Source organism: Homo sapiens, chromosome 11 (assembly GCF_000001405.40).
Source record: "Homo sapiens chromosome 11, GRCh38.p14 Primary Assembly".
Lineage (NCBI taxonomy): Eukaryota > Metazoa > Chordata > Mammalia > Primates > Hominidae > Homo > Homo sapiens.
Genome location: NC_000011.10, coordinates 67,188,292 through 67,205,789, shown reverse-complemented (window position 1 = coordinate 67,205,789; position 17,498 = coordinate 67,188,292). Strand labels below are relative to the sequence as shown.

The 17,498-nt window shown below is 41.5% G+C and overlaps 1 protein-coding gene across 6 annotated transcripts in view, besides 1 other annotated feature; it reads right to left on the bottom strand.

Annotated features, from left to right (window-relative positions):
- Window positions 1-17,498, bottom strand: part of KDM2A (lysine demethylase 2A) — a 138,820-nt gene that overhangs the window by 52,293 nt on the left and 69,029 nt on the right. The window lies entirely within an intron of this gene.
- Window positions 7,922-8,422: an enhancer, noted in NCBI's record as "H3K4me1 hESC enhancer chr11:66964839-66965339 (GRCh37/hg19 assembly coordinates)". NCBI's record gives its function as "activates a minimal SCP1, AML or CMV promoter by ChIP-STARR-seq in primed H9 embryonic stem cells {active_cell/tissue: H9 hESC(primed)}" and the evidence as "EXISTENCE:reporter gene assay evidence [ECO:0000049][PMID:30033119]".

Genomic DNA, 17,498 nt, shown 5'->3' with positions numbered 1-17,498 from the left:
GTATGTCTGGCCGGGCACGGTGGTGCACATCTATAATCCCATCACTCTGGGAGGTCAAGACGGGCAGACAGCTTCTGTCCAGGAGTTTGAGACCAGCCTGGGTAACATAGCAAAACACCGTCTCTACTAAAAATACAAAAAAAATTAAACATACACACACACAAAACAAAAAAATACAAATACAAATACAAAAAATTAGCTGGGCATGGTGGTGCGTGCCCGTAATCCCGGCTACTCGGGAGGGTGAGGTGTGAGAATCACCTGAGCCCAGGAGGTCGAGGCTGTAGAAAAAAAAAATTTATATCTATTGTCTTCCTTGTAAGACGAACAAACACCTGCCCTGGCTGGATGTATCAGGTAGCATTAGAACCTGATACCCTGTCTCTAAGGAATTTATAGCTTAGTTAAAGATAGGAGATAATACCCAAGAGAAGAATATGGCCACTGTGAAATAGACAAGGCAGAATATATATATTACTAGTAAAACATAACTAATAATGTAAGGCAATGGACAGAACCTACACTTCATATTTTAAAAGAAAAAGTGAATGTCAAATCAAAACTGCCAAGAAATACCACTTCACACCCACTAGGATCGCTATAATTTAAAAAATGGAAAATAATGAGTGCTAGCAAAAATGCAGAGAAATTGGAACCCTCATACATCTACTGGTGGGAATATAAGATGGTGCAGCCGCTATGGAAATTGGATTTGCAGTTCCTCAATAAACTAAACACAGAATGACCATGTGACTCAGCAATTCCACTTCTAGGCATATATCTAAAAGAATTGAACAAGGTGTTCAAACAAAAGCTTGTACATAAATATTCACTGCAGCACTATTTAAAACAGCTAAAAGATGGAAATAACACAAATGTTTACCATGATATGAATAAACAAAATGTGGTTGATCCATACAAGGAAATAGTCGACCATAAAAAGGAATGAAGTACTAATACATGCTACAACATGGATATACCAAGAAAACACACTGTATCAGCTGGGTTTGGTGGCTCACGCCTGTAATCCCAGCACTTTGGGAGGTCGAGGTGGGTGGATCACGAGGTCAGGAGATCAAGACCATCCTGGCTATCACGGTGAAACCCCATCTCTACTAAAAATACAAAAAATTAGCCAGGTGTGGTGGCAGGCACCTGTAGTCCCAGGTACTCGGGAGACTGAGGCAGGAGAATGGCATGAACCCAGGAGGCGGAGCTTGCAGTAAGCAGAGATCACACCACTGCACTCCAGCCTGGGCAACACAGTGAGACTCTGTCTCAAAAAAAAAAAAAAGAAAAAAGAAAACACACTGTATCAAAGAAGCCTACACAAAAGGCTACATATTATATAGTTCCATTTATATGAAATATACAGATTAGACAAATTCACCAAGACAGAATAGATTTGTTGTTGCCAGGAGTTAAGTGGAGGAGAAAACGGAGAATGACTGCTCAAAGGTATGGAGTTTGTTTGGGGTGATGAAATTCTAGAACTAGATAGTGGTGATGGTTGCACACTGTGAAAAAACTTGATGACACTGGTATGCTTTAAAATGGGTACATGACAATGAAATGTTCTATGCAAAAAGAAAAAAACGTAATGGTTATGATGGTAAACTTTATATTACCTGTATTTAACCATAATTTAAGAAATAACAAGTAAATGCTTTCCTTCAAGAATGTAGGGGAGGCCAGGTGTGGTGACTCACGCCTGTAATCTCAGCACTTTGGGAGGCCGAGGCGGGCAGATCACTTGAGGTCAGGAGTTTGAGACCAGCCTGGCCAACATGGTGAAACCCCATCTCTACTAAAAATACAAAAATTAGCTGGGCGTGGTGGTACGCGGCCATAGTCCCAGCTACTTAGGAGGCTGAGGCAAGAGATTTGCTTGAATTCAAGAGGCAGAGGTTGCAGTGAGCCAAGATCGCACCACTGCACTCCGGACCTGGGCGACACAGCAAGACTCTGTCTTAAAAAGAAAAAAGAAAAAAAAAAAAAAGAATGTAGAGGAAAGCATTTTATTCTTTTTTCCTTTTGAGATGGGGCCTCACTCTGTCACCCAGGCTGGAGTGCAGTGGCACAATCTAGACTCAATGCAACCTCTGCCTCCCAGGCTCAAGTGATCCTCCCACCTCAGCCTCCTGAGTAGCTGGGACTACAGTGCATGCCACCATACCCAGTTAATTTTTTGTATTTTTGGTAAAGACAAGGTTTCACTATGTTGCCCAGGCTGGTATTCTTTTATTACTAGACTACTTATTTATTATATATTTTATATTATATATTATATAAAAATATATTAATATATATTAATAATTATTAATAATTAATAAATATAATTATATTAATATATTATTTATTATAGACTATTTATTACTAGACTATTTTGTATTTTCAGACTACTTAGTATAACCATATCTTGGAGATATTGTGGGTTCAGTTCCAGATCATTGCAATAAAGCAACTATTCCAGTAAGCAAGTCATACAAAACTTTTTGGTTTCACAGTGCATATATTTACATTATACTGTAGGCTATTAAGTGTACAACAGCACTGTATCTAAAAAACAAGGTACATACTTTTATTTAAAAATACTTTATTGCTAAAAATGCTAACAATCATCTGAGCCTTCAGTGAGTCATAATCTTGGCCTGTGGAGGAACTTGCCTCATTGTTGAGGGCTGCTGACTGATCAGAGTGGTGGTGGTTGCTGAAGGTTGGGGTGGATATAGCAACTTCTTTTTCTTTCGCTGAAGTGTAAACCGTTTTTCTTTTTTTTTTTTTTTGGCGGCGGACGGACAGGGTCTTGCTCTGTTGCCCAGGCTGGAGTGCACTGGTGCAATCACAGCTCACCACAGCCACAAACTCCTGGACTCTGGTAATCCTTCCACCTTAGCCTCCGGAGTAGCTGGGACTACAGGCACGTGCCACAATGGCTGGCTAATCCTTTAATTTTTGCCGATACAAGATCTCGCTGTTTCTCGGGTCGACAATTTCTTTTCTTTTTTTTTTTTGAGACGAAGTCTCGCTCTGTCGCCCAGGCTGGAGCGTAGTGGCGCGATCTCGGCTCACTGCAAGCTCCGCCTCCTGGGTTCACGCCATTCTCCTGCCTCAGCCTCCTGAGTAGCTGGGACTACAGGTGCCTGCCACCATGCCTGGCTAGTTTTTTTTTTGTATTTTTAGTAGAGACGGGGTTTCACCATGTTAGCCAGGATGGTCTCAATCTCCTGACCTTGTGATCCACCCGCCTCAGCCTCCCAAAGTGCTAGGATTACAGACGTGAGCCACCATGCCCAGCTGACATTTCTTAAAATAAGACAACAATAAAGTTTGCAACATGGATTGATACTTCCTTTCACAAAGAGACTTCTCTGTAGCATGCAATGCTGTTTGATATCATTTTACCCATGGTAGAACGTCTTTCAAAATTGGAGTCAATCCTCTCAAACCCTACTGCTGCTTTATAAACTCACTTTATGTAATATCCTAAATACCTTGTTATTTTAACAATGTTTACAGCATCTCCACCAGGAGTAGATTCCATCTTAAAAAAACAAACTTCTTTATTTGCTCATCCATAAGAAGCAACTCTTCCATCTGCTCAAGTTTCATTATAGATTGCAGCAATTCAGTCGCATCTTCGACTCCATTTCTAATTCTAGCTCTCTCACTATTTTCACCACATTTGCAGTTACTTCCTCCACTGAAGTCTTGAACCCCTCAAAGTCATCAATAAGGGTGGGAACCAACTTTTTCCAAACTCCTGTTAATGTTGATATTTTGACCTCCTCCCATGTACCACAAATGCTCTTTTTCATTTTAATTATTTTTTTTAGAGACAGGGTCTCACTCTCATGCCCAGGCTGGAATAGAGTGGCAAGATCAGAGCTCATTGCAACCTCGAATTCCTGGGCTCAAGTGATCCTCCCACCTCAGCCACCCAAATAGTTGGGACTACAGGTGTACACCACCAAGCATGGCTAATTTTTTTTTTTTTTTTTTTTTTTTTTTTTTTTTGAGATGGAGTCTAGCTCTGTTGCCTAGGCTGGAGTGTGGTGGGGTGGTGTGATCTTGGCTCACTGCAACCTCCGTCTCCCAGGTTCAAGTGATTCTCCTGCTTCAGCCTCCCAAGTAGCTGGGACTACAGGCCCATGCCACCACACTCGGCTAATTTTTGTATGTTTAGTAGAGACCAGGTTTCACCATACTGGTCAGGCTGGTCTTGTACCCCTGACTTGTGATCTGCCCACCTTGGCCTCCCAAACTGCTAGGATTACAGGCGTGAGCCACCGCACCGGGCCATGGCTAATTTTTTGTAGAGATGGTCTCACTATGTTTCCCAGGCTGGTCTCAAACTCCTGGCCTCAAGGGATCCACCACCTGGGCCTATCAAAACATTGGGATTACAGACATGAGCCACTATGCCTGGCCATAAATATGTTCTTAATGGCATCTACAGTGGTGAATCCTTTCCAGATGTTTTTCAATTTATTTGGTCCAGATTTACCAGCAGAATCACTATGTCAGCTATAGCCTTATGAAATATATATATATACACACACACACACACATATATATATATATATTTTTTTTTTTGAGACAGAGTCTTGCTCAGTCGCCCAGGCTGTAGTGCAGTGGTGCAATCTCGGCTCACTGCAAGCTCCGCCTCCCGGGTTCACGCCATTCTCCTGCCTCAGCCTCCCCAGTAGCTGGGACTACAAGCGCCCGCCACCACGCCCGGCTAATTTTTTTTCTATTTTCAGTAGAGACTGGGTTTCACCGTGTTAGCCAGATGGTCTCAATCTCCTGACCTCGTGATCCACCCGCCTCGACCTCCCAAAGTGCTGGGATTACAGGTGTGAGCCACTGTGCCAGGCCATGAAATATATTTCTTAAATAATAAGACTAAAGTTGAGATTACTCCTTGATCCATGGGCCACAGAATGAATACTGCTATCTGGCATGAAAACGGTATTAATCTCAGGCAAGGCATGGTAGCTCATGCCTGTAATCCCAGCACTTTGGGAAGCTGAGGCAGGCAAATCCCTTGAGCCCAGGAGTTCTAAACCAGCCTGGGTAACAGGGTCAAACTGTGTCTCTACCAAAACACAAAAATTAACTGGGTGTGTTGGCATGTGCTTGTAGTCCCAGCTAAAGGCTGAGGTGGAAGGATCACCTGAGCCCAGGGACACTGAGCCTGCAGTGAGCCATGATTGTACCATTGCACTCCAACTTGGGCAACAGAATGAGACCTTGTCTTAAAAAACCAAACAGGCTGGGCACGGTCGCTCACGCCTATAATCCCAGCACTTTGGGAGGCTGAGGCGGGCGGATCATGAGGTGAGGAGATCGCGATCATCCTGGCTAACATGGTGAAACCCCATCTCTACTAAAAATACGAAAAAAATTAGCCGGACGTGGTGGCGGACGCCTGTAGTCCCAGCTACTCGGGAGGCTGAGACAGGAGAATGGCGTGAACCCAGGAGGTGGAGCTTGCAGTGAGCTGAGATCGTGCCACTGCACTCCAGCCTGGGCAACAGAGAGAGACTCCGTCTAAAAAGAAAAAAAAAAACCACACAAACAATATTAATCTCTTTGTACATTCCCATCAGAGGTCTTGGGTGAAGAGGTACACTGCCAGTGAGCAGTAACATTTTGAAAGGAACCTTTTTTCCTGAGCAGATCTCCACAGTGGGCTTAATAAATTCAGTAAACCATGCTGTAAAACAGATGTGATATCATCTAGGCTTTGTTGTTCCATTAATAGAGTAGATTTAGCATAATTCTTAAGGGCCCTAGGATTTTGGAATGGTAAATAAGCTTTTTTTGGAATGTTAAATTTGGTTTCCAATTAAAATCACCAGCTGCATTAGCCCCTAACAAGAGAGTCAACTTGTCCCTTGAAGCAACTGCCTTTTATCTAGCTATGAAAATCCTAGATGCTATCTTCTTCCAATAGAAGGCTGTTTCATTTACATGGAAAATCTGTTGTTTAGTGCAGCCTCCTTCATCAATGATCCTAGCTGGTTCTCCTGGATAACCTGCTGCAGCTTCTATATCAGCATGTGCTGCTGCTTTACCTTGCACTTCATTGTTACAAAGATGGTTTCTTAAACTTCATAAACCAACCTCTCCTGGCTTTAAACTTTTCTTCTGCAGCTCCCTCACCTCTCTCAGCCTTTACAGAATTAAAGAGAATCAGGGCTTTACTGTGGCTTAGGGTTTGTTAAGGGAATGTTATAGCTGGTTTGATTTTCTATCCAAACCACTCAGACTTTCTCCGTTATCAGTGATAAGGCTGTTTTTCTTTCTTATCCCCATGTTCACTGGAGTAGCACTTTTAATTTTCTTCAAGAACCTTTCCTTTGCATTCACATCTTGGTTAACTATTTGATGTAAAAGGCCTATCTTGGCTTTTGACATGCCTTAATCACTAAACTTAATCATTTCTAACTTTTGATTTAAAGTGAGAGAGGTGGGACTCTTCCTTTCACTTGAACACTTAAGAGGCCATGTGTTATTAGTTGGCCTAATTTCAATATTGTTGTGTCTCAGGAAATAGGGAGGCCTGAGGAGAGAAAGAGAACAAGGGAATAGCAATGTGGCAAAGCAGTCAGAACATATACAACATTTCAAGTCTGCTCTCCTATATGGATACAGTTCATGGCACCTCAAAACAAGTATAATAGTAATGTCAAAGATCACTGATCTGCTGGGTGCAGTGGCTCATGCCTGTAATCTCAGCACTTTGGGGAGGCCAAGGCGGGTGAATCACTTGAGGTCAGGAGTTTAAGATCACCCTGGCCAACATGGTGAAACTCCATCTCTACTAAAAATACAAAAATTAGCCAGGCATGGTGGTGCATGTCAGTAATCTCAGCTACTCGGGAGGCAGAGGCATGAGAATTGCTTGAATCCAGGAGGTGGAGGTTGCAGTAAGCCAAGATTGTGCCACTGCATTCCAGCCTGGGCAACAGAGTGAGACTCCGTCAAAAACAAAACAAAACAAAACAAAACAAAACAAAACAAACTACTGATCACCACTGACAAATAATAATGAAAAGCTTTTTTTTTTTTTTTGAGACAGAGTCTCACTCTGTCACCCAGGCTGGAGTGCAGTGGCGGGATCTCAGCTCACTGCAACCTCCGCCTTCCGGGTTCACGCCATTCTCCTGACTCAGCCTCCCAAATAGCTGGGACTACAGGCGCCCGCCACTGCGCCCAGCTAATTTTTTGTGTTTTTAGTAGAGATGGGATTTCACCGTGGTCTCGATCTCCTGACCTCGAGATCCGCCCGCCTCGGCCTCCCAAAGTGCTGGGATTACAGGCATGAGCCATTGCGCCCGGCATAATGAAAAGGTTTTAAAATGTGACAGACATGAAGTGAGCATATGCTATTGGAAAAATGGCGGCTACAGACTTGCTCAATGAAGGTTTGCCAGAAACCTTCAATTTGTTAAAAAAAAAAAAAAATACACTATCTGCAAAGTGCAATAAAATGAGGTGCGCTCATACTCTGGGTATGGACCAGAGCACTTAGATAAAATTGTGATGGTCAAAGTAATAGCTAACATTTACTGAGAACTCAGCACAGTTGATCCTTGAACAACACTGGTTTGAACTACATGGGTTCACTTATACATGAATTTTCTTCCATCCCTGCCACTCCTGAGACAGCAAAAGCAATCCCACCTCTTCCTCCTTAGCCTACTCATCATGAAGATGAAAAGATAGTAAATATATTTTCAATCTTAATAGTAAACAAATGTTCTTTTATGATTTAAGGAATTTTTATCTTACTTTATTGTAAGAATACAGTATATAATATGTATAACATAAAATATGTTAATCAACTGTTTACATTATCCATAAGGCATCCAGTAAACAGTAGGTTATTGGTAGTTAAGTTTCTGAGGAATTCCAATTTATATGTAGATTTCTGACTTGCTGGGGGTTGGTGCCTCTAGCCGTTGCATTGTTCAAGGGTCAACTGTATATGCCAGACACTGTTCTAAGCACTTCACATTTAAGTAACTTGTCCAAGATTACACAGCTAGTAATTAGTGTAGCTCAGGACAGTTTTGCTACAGAGTCCATATTCTCAACCAAATACATCCTATCACAGAAAGTTTACAAGACAGAATGGCTTACTTCTTTCTGAGACATAAACTGACACTGAAGAAGTAACATTCCACCACAGGCTGAAAAGAAGAGCTGGATCAGCTTTTTCACTGCATTTTGCCAATGATTAGCTATCCAAGAAACAAAAAAACACCCAGACTTTAAAAAACCTGGATAGAAAGTTAGTCACTGGCTGGGCAGAGTGGCTCACGCCTGTAATCCCAACACTTTGGTGGGGCCGAGGCGGGCTGACTGCTTGAGCTCAGGAGTTCCAAGACCAGCCTGGGCAACATGGCAAAATCCCATCTCTACAAAAAAAATACAAAAATTATCTGGGCATGGTGGTGCCCACCTGTGGTCCCAGCTACTCAGGAAGCTGAGGTGGGAGGATCGCTTGAGCCCAGGAAGTCAAGGCTGCAGGGAGGCATGATTGCCCCACTGCACTCCAGCCTGGGTGACAAAGCAATACCCTGTCTCAAAAAAAAAAAAAAAAGTTTATTTCTGATAAGGTCTGTTAGGTTAGATATAATTGCTATTTTATTTTAAATCACAGCAAAGTTATTTGTGTTCACCCTTGGGTTTATTTAGAAAATACAAGGTTACAAAGGGCTTCCAAAGATCATTATTAGCAGTAAGAAGATTACCGAGGAAAGGAAAAGTGGTAAGGAAGTGGGAAGAAAACCGAAGACTGATGACTGAATAAGATCTTACATATTTGCATAGCTCAGAAATTTGAATACTATATCCAGGAGTCTATTTTTTTTTCAACTTGTAAAAAATGGTAGTAAAATACAAAAAACATAAAATGTTCTATCTTAACCATTTTTAGGAGCACAGTTCAGTGTTATTAAATATATTCACAATGTTGTGCAACCATTACCACCATCCATCTCCATAACTCTGTTCATCTTATAAAACTGAAACTATGGCCGTTTTAAGTCCCCATTGCCCTTCTTCCCAGTAACCACTATTCTATTTTGTCTCCATGATTTTGGTTACTCTATATACTTCATGTCAGTGGAATTACACAGTATTTATATTTTTGTGGCTGGGTTATTTCACTTAGCATAAGTCCTTAGGATTCATGTAATGTGTAGTATATATCAGAATTTCCTTCCTTTTTAAGGCTAAATAATAATCCAGTGAATGGAAATAGCACATTATGCTAAAGTATTCACTGCTGATGGACATTTAGGTTGCTACATTTTAGCTACTATGAATTATCATTCAGCCAAGCACTGTGGCTCATGCTTGCAGTCCCAGCTATGCAAGAGGTTAAAGCAGGAAGATCGCTTGAGTCCAGGATTTCAAGGCCAGCTTGGGCAACACAGTGAGACCTCATCTCTTAAAACTGTAATAGGCCCACTTGCTCCCTCCTGCCATCTGGCTGACATGAAGAACTGGAGGTGGCAGCAGTGGTAGCCTGCATCTGAGGCTCATGGGCTGCAAGCCCCTGCTCGTGCACCATGGATGATTTTGCCAAAGAAAGTTTCACTGTAGTGGATTATGTCTTGTTAGAAAATTGCCCTAATATGGGTGACTATGTCGTTGCTCCTCAATTTATGACCGACAATTATGTTCGTGTGACTCAGCTTAACTGGGATGGGGTGGGTACGCAATAAAAAGATTACATCTAAGTGAGAGAAATTTAGCAATTCTTGTGGTTCTGAGATAAGTTTGAAGAAATCACAACATCTTGAGTTGATAGAAGATATTGTGGATTTGGCAAAGAAAGTTGCTGTAAGTGGTAGAAAAATTATTCCTTATTGGAGCCTATTGAGAACTGGTTATAAAATAGAAAATAAAATACTGGCAACGGAACCAGCTTTGAACTGGGTAAATACACAGGCAATATTAACAATTCTAACTAAATTAGGACAAGCTGACAATTGTTGGCTTATGTTAAGTATTTTCTTTACTGAATATAAGTACAATATAACTAAAGTTCTAACAGAAAACTGCAATTTGCTTGAAGAATTTAAAACCCAAGGTTATACAGACTGCATAGAGCATGAACAACTAATAAAAATAAAAGGAAATAAAGAGTTTTGCAAAGAAAGACTTGATACAGCTCTATTACACCAGAGCCACTGAATAGAGACCTGAAAACCATTTTCTTTATAGTAACAGAGCTCTTTGTTTTCTTCATACTGGACAGTTTAGAACACAGTCCCATGGCATAAAATTTGGAAAATAGAAGAGTTTAAAAAGAAAATAAAAATCACCAGCAATCCAACCACCTTGAAGAATATTGCTGTATTAATGTTATTCAACTTTTTTTTTTTTTTTTTTTTTTTTTGGAGACGGAGTCTCACTCGATCACCCAGGCTGGAGTGCAGTGGTGCGATCTCGGCTCACTGCAGCCTTCGCCTTCTGGGTTCAAGTGATTCTCCTGCCTTAGCCTCTCGGGTAGCTGGGACTATAGGCATGCGCCACCACGCCCGGCTAATTTGTTATGCAACTTTTAGATGGCTCAAGTCATGGATAAACTGAGACTATTTAGACTAGAGAACTGGATGGGCTTGACAGTCTTCCATCAATACCACTATTCTCAATGGGTTCTGACAAGAAATGAGCTGCAAATGTCTTTAGGTTATTGCCTCTGTCTAGGTCCAGAATTGCATATATTCTACACTGTTTGAAGGTAAGTTTGTACACTTTCAAGATCAGATGAATAGGCTGGCAATTCTAAAAGTTGAGGATTCCTGTAATAATTGAGAAGCCAATCCAAAAATCGTGCCTTGCAGGAAGTCATCCACTCTCCAGCTCCAAGAGCTAAGAGGCAAATCCAAGTATTTCTGCTCCTTCATGAATGTTGAATCTTAGATACACAAATAGGATCCTCCTAAAACCCTGCTGCAACAGCAGGTGAATCAAAGTAGGAGTACAGAAGCCAGGTAGCTTGCTGAGATAAAGGCCAAGAGCAGGTTGTGGATCTATCCTTGTACCTCCTTCCTGATGGTCTAGCTTGTGGTTTAATACCACCTACATTTTTATTAGAGGCAGGTAAGCAGCACTGAGAGCCCTCTATTTTTTACTAGGCAATCACCAATATGTATTGGGTGCCTATGTAATGCACAAAGTGTTATGCCACATTGCTTTTGTGGTGTTTTTTACCTTCTCGCAGTATTTACATGATTTACTCAATAATGCAGGGATAATGTTTTCAGGGTCCACAGTATATATAACTCCTGATCAACTGACTAGATAACATAACTTAAGAAAAGAACACGTTGTTAGTAATTCAGATGTGCCATTGACACAGGAGGACCTACGCCTCAGAAAGACTTTTATCTGAGTTACCAAGGTTGAGATGTTTTGAAAGATGCTAGATCTGGGAATCTGGCTGAGCAGCTGCTGGGACAGCTGGGGGTAAAGCAACCACCCTCCCCCAGTTTGGGAAAGGATGTACTACTCAGCTGTTCCACAAGACCAGGATTTTTATTTGCTGTCATTGAAGCAAGAACTGAGATACACAAAGAGAACAGAAATGGAACATTTTAAACTAATACTAGAAAAGAAACAAAAGGATTAAAGTCATGAATGCTAAAATTGCTGAAATAATTTATCATAAAAGATTAGAAAATATAAGTAGAAACACTCAAAGAAATGAGATTAAATTTTAAAAATAACTTTGGCAAGATTAGTATCTAAAATGGTGGACAGGTGCAGTGAGATTACGCCTATAATCTCAGCAATTTGGGAGGCCAAGACAGGAGGACAGCTTGAGGCCTGGGGCTAGAGACCAGCTTCTTCAACACAGCGAGACCCCTGTCTCAATAAATACGTATGTATGTATGTATGTATTGAGATGGGGTCTCACTCTGTTGCCCAGGCTGGAATACAACGACATGGTCTCAGCTTACCGCAACCTCCCGCTCCTGGGTTCAAGCAGTTCTTCTGCCTCAGCCTCCCAAGTAGTTGGGAGTAGAGGCGCCTGCCACCATGCCTGGCTAATTTTTGTATTTTTAGTAGATACGGCGTTTTGCCATGTTGGTCAGGCTGGTCTCGAACTCCCGACCTCAGGTGATCTGTCTGCCTCAGCCTCCCAAAGTGCCGGGATTACAGGCGTGAGCCACCATGCCCAGCCAATATATACGTATTTAAAAGGATAAAAATAATACTGTCTCCAACAACATGGCTGTGACTCTTCTGAGCACTTTATGTGTATTAACTTTTAAAACTAGAGTTTCTACTATTAATCACTATGAGAAAGTGATAACAGAATAAAAGGGAACATGAAAGTTTAAAAAATTTAAATAGATGGCCCAAATAGTCAATAAACATTTCTGAGAACATGATTATCCTTACAGGACATGCAGATTAAAAACTACAAGTTTCTCTTTCATACCCATCAGATTGTTGAAAGTTTAAGTCTCGGCCAGGTGCGGTGGCTCACGCCTGTAATCCCAGCACTTTGGGAGGCTGAGGCGGGTGGATCACCTGAGGTCAGGAGTTCAAGATCAGCCTGGCCAACATGGCAAAACCCTGCCTATACTAAAAATACAAAAATGAGCCGGGTGTGGTGGCAAGAGCCTGTAATTCCAGCTACTCAGGAGGCTGAGGCAGGAGAATCACTTGAACCTGGGAGGCGGAGGTTGCAGTAAGCCGAGATCGCGGCACTGCACTCCAGACTGAGAAACAAAGTGAGACTCTGATACCCCCTAGCCAAAAAATAAAAATAAAAAATAAATGAATATCTCATAATATCAAGTATTTGAGTGAATATGGAACAAAGGACACTCTCCTACTTGACTCAACAAAGTGTAAACTGGTACAATCACTTTGGAGAGGAATTTGACAAGGTGAAAATGTATACTCTTTGGCCCACTTCTAGGCTTATACCGTCTAAACTCTCAAATGTGTACCCAAGAAGAAATTTATAAACCTTCATTGTAGCATTATTTGTAAGACAAGAAATGGAGGCCAGGCACGGTGGCTCATGCCTGTAATCCTAGCACTTTGGGAGGCCAAGGCGGATGGATCACTTGAGGTCAGGAGTTTGAGACCAGCCTGCCCAACATGGTGAAACCCCATCTGTACTAAAAAATACAAAATTGACCAGGCATGGTGTTGCATGCCTGTAATCCCAGCTACTCGGGAGGCTGAGGCAGGAGAATCGCTTGAACCTGGGAGGTGGAGGTTGCAGTGAGCCAAGATCACGCCACTGCACTCCAGTCAGGGCACCAAGAGAGATGCTCCATCTCAAAAAAAAAAAAAAAAAAAAAAAAAAAAGAAATGGAAACAAAGTAAATGTCCATTGGTGGGGAATGGGTAAATTATGGTATATTCATACAATGGAATTCTATATGGTAGTTAAAATGAATGCAATGTTTAGTGAAAAAGCAAGTTGCAGAATGATTTGTACACTATGATGCCATTTGTTAATGTTTAAAAACATGCAAAGCAATATGCATGTCTACAGACTGCATTAAAAACCAAGGGAGTGCCTATCTCTGGAGAGAGGAGGAAGGAAAAGGGATTGAAAATGGGAAGAATGGTACACAGTGGATGTCAATGCTAACAAACTTCTGCAAAAAGAGATGAAGTAAATATGGCAAAAGGTTAATTTCTTACTAAGTTGTACACAAGTGGATCTTCATTTTGGGTTTATAGATGGGTGTTCATTTTGTTAATGATATTCTCCGTAATTTTATGTATATTTGAAATATTTGACAAACAGCAAAACTAAGTGTAAAGATGCACATGATAGAAGGAACCAAAGAAAAATACTAATAACAAATAAAAAAGTCATATCATCTGCCAACAGAGGTGACTTTACTTCTTCCTTTACAATTTGTATGCCTTTTCTTTCCTTTTTTTGCCTAATTGCTCTGTTAGGACTTCCAGTGCTACATTGAATAGAGGCAGTAAAAGCAGGCGCCTTTACGCTGTTCCTGATCTTAAATGCTTTTGGTGTTTCACCACTGAGTATGATATTTACTGAGGGTTTTTCATATAAAGCTTTTATTATGTTAAGGTAGTTTCCTTTTATTTCTAGTTTGTTAAGTGTTTTTATCATGAAAAGGTGTTGAATTTTGTCAAATACCTTCTCTGTGTCAATTGAGATGATCATGTAACTTTTTTCCTCCTTCACTGTTAATGAAATTTATATTGATTGATTTTCACATGTCAAATCATCTATTCCAGGAATAAATCCCACTTGGTCATGGTGTATAATCCTTTTAATATGCTGCTGAATTTAGTATGCAAGTATTTTGTTGAGGAGTTTTACATCATTGTTCAAAAAGGATATTGATTTGTAGTTTTCTTGTACTGTCTTTGTCTCGCTTTGGTATCAGGGTAATGCTGGCCTCACAGAAAGACTTAAGAAGTGTTCCCTTGGTCGGGCGCAGTGGCTCACGCCTGTTATCTCAGCACTTTGGGAGGCCGAGGCGAGCAGATCACGAGGTCAGGAGATCGAGACCATCCTGGCCAACATGGTGAAACCCCATCTCTACTAAAATACAAAAAATTAGCCGGGCATAATCCCAGCTACTTGGGAGGCTGAGGCAGGGAATCGCTTGAACCCAGGAGGTGGAGATTGCAGTGAGCCGAGATCGCGCCACTGCATTCCAGCCTGGCGACAGCAACGAGACTCATCTCAAAAAAAGAAAAAAAAGAAGTGTTCCCTCTTAAATTCTTTGGAAAAGTTTGAGAAGAATTGGTGTTAGTTCCTCTTTAAATGTTTGGTAGAATTCACCACCAAAGCCATCAGGCCCAGCCTTTTCTTCGTTGGGAGATTTTTGAATATTGACTCAATCTCCTCACTAACTACAATATAGTTCTATTCAAATTTTCTATTTCTTAGTGATTTAGTCTTAACAAGTTTTGTGTTTCTAGAAATTTGTACACTTCATCTAGGTTATCCAATTTATTGATGAACAATTGTTCGTAGTATTTTTTTTTTTAAAGAGTCTCGCTCTGTTGCCTAGGCTGGAGTACAATGGCACAATCTGGGCTCACTGTAACCTCCGCCTCCTCAGTTCAAGCGATTCTCATGACTCAGCCTCCTGAGTAGCTGGGATTACAGGAACATGCAACCATGTCCAGCTCAGTTTTTGTATTTTCAGTAGAGACAGGGTTTCACCATGTTGCCCAGGATGGTCTCAAACTCCTGAGCTCAGGCAATGCACCCACCTTGGCTTCCCAAAGTGCTAGGATTACTGGAATGAGCCACCACGCATAGTATTCTCTTACAATCCTTTTTATTTCTACAGAATTGGAAGTAATGTCCTCACTTTCACTTTCTTTTTTTGAGTCGGAGGTTTGCTCTTGTCACCCAGGCTGGAGTGCAGTGGTGCAATCTTGGCTCGCTGCAACCTCTGCTTCCTAGGTTCAAGCCATTCTCCTGCCTCAGCCTCCTGAGTAGCTGGGATTACAGGCATGTACCACCACATCCAGCTAATTTATGTATTTTTAGTAGAGACAGGGTTTCATCACATTGGCCAGGCTAGTCTCGAACTCCTCACCTCAGGTGATCCACCCGCCTCGGCCTCCCAAAGTGCTGGGATTATAGGTGTCAGCCACCGCGCTCGGCCCTCACTTTCACTTCTGATTTTAGTAATTCGATCTTTCTTTCCTTAGTCCATCTGGCTAAATAAAGCTTTGTCAATTTTGTTTATCTTTTCAAAGAAGAACCACCTTTTGGTTTCTTTGACTTTTCTCTATTGTTTTTCTATTCTTTATTTCATTTATCTCTAATCTTTATTACTTCCTTTAGCTTTAGGTTTAGTTTGTCCTTTTTCTAGTTATTTAAGTTGTAAGGTTAGGTTGTTGATTTTAAGTTTCTCTTCTTTTGTTAAAGAGACTGGTGTTTGTTTGTTTTTTGACACAGAGTCTCACTTTGTTGCCCCGGCTGGAGTGCAATGTGCGATCTTGGCTCACTGCAACCTCCGCTTCCCAGGTTCAAGTGATTCTCCTGCCTCAGCCTCCCGAGTAGCTGGGACTACAGGTGTCCACCATCATGCCTGGCTAATGTTTGTATTTTTAGTAGAGATGGGGTTTCGCCATGTTGACCAGGCTGGTCTCGAACTCCTGACCTCAGGTGATCCACCGGCCTCAGCCTGCCAAAGTGCTAGGATTACAGGCGTGAGCCACCTCGCCCGGCCGAGATAAGGTCTTGCTATGTTGCCCAAGCTGGCCTCAAAATCCTGGGCTCAAGCAATCCTCCTGCCTCAGTCTCCCAAGTAGCTGGAACTATAGGCACATGCTACTGCAATCAGTGATTCCGTGTTTTATAATCAAAGCATTTATAGCTACAAATTTCTCCTTTAATGTTGCTTTCACTGATCCCTATAAGTTTTGGTAGGCTGTGTTGTGTTCATTCATCTATAAGTATTTTCTAATTTCCATGTGATTTCTTCTTTGATTCACTGATTGTTAAATTCCACAATTTTGTGACCTTTCCAGTTTTACCTGTTATTGATTTTTAACTTCATCCCATTGTGGTTGGAGAAGATACTTTGATATCTATTTTTTAAATCCACTGATATTTAATCTGTAGCCTAACATATGGTGTATCCTGGAAAATGTCCTACATACACTTGAAAAGAATGTGTATGCTATTGCTGTTAGGTAGGATTCTGTCTGTGTCTGTGAGATCTAGTTGGTTTACTGTGTTAAGTCCACTATTTCCTTACTTATTTTCTGTCTGGTTGTTCTATCCATTATTGAGAGGGGGTACTGAAGTCTCCAGGTATTACTGTATAGAAATGTCTACTTCTCCCTTCAGTTCTGTCAGGTTTTCCTTTGGGTATACTGATGGTCTGTCGTTAGGTACATAAATGTTTGTAATTGTTATATCTTCTTGCTATAGTTAAACCTTTAATTAATATATGTCTTTGCCTCTTGAAACATTTTTTTTTTTTTTTTTTTTGAGACAGTGTCTTGCTCTGTCACCCAGGCTGGAGTGAAGTGGCACAATCTCAGGTCACTGCAGCTTTGACCTGCCAGGCTCAAGTGACACTCCCACCTCAGCTTCCTGAGTAGCTTAGACTACAGGCATGTGCCACCATGCTTGGATTATTTTTATTTTTTTGGTAGAGACGAGGTCTCACCACGTTACCCAGGGTAGTCTCAAACTCCTGGGCTTAAGCAATCTTCCCGCCTTGGCCTCCCAAAGTTGGGATTACAGACGTGTGAGGCACCATGCCCAACCATTTTTTCTTTCTTTTTTTTTTTTTTTGAGACAGAGTCTTGCTCTGTCGCCCAGGCTGGAGTGCAGTGGCGCGATCTCAGCTCAGTGCAAGCTCTACCTCCCGGGTTCACGCCATTCTCCTGCCTCAGCCTCCCGAGTCGCTGGGACTACAGGCGCCTGCCACCACACCCGGCTAATATTTTGTATTTTTAGTAGAGACGGGGTTTCACCGTGTTAG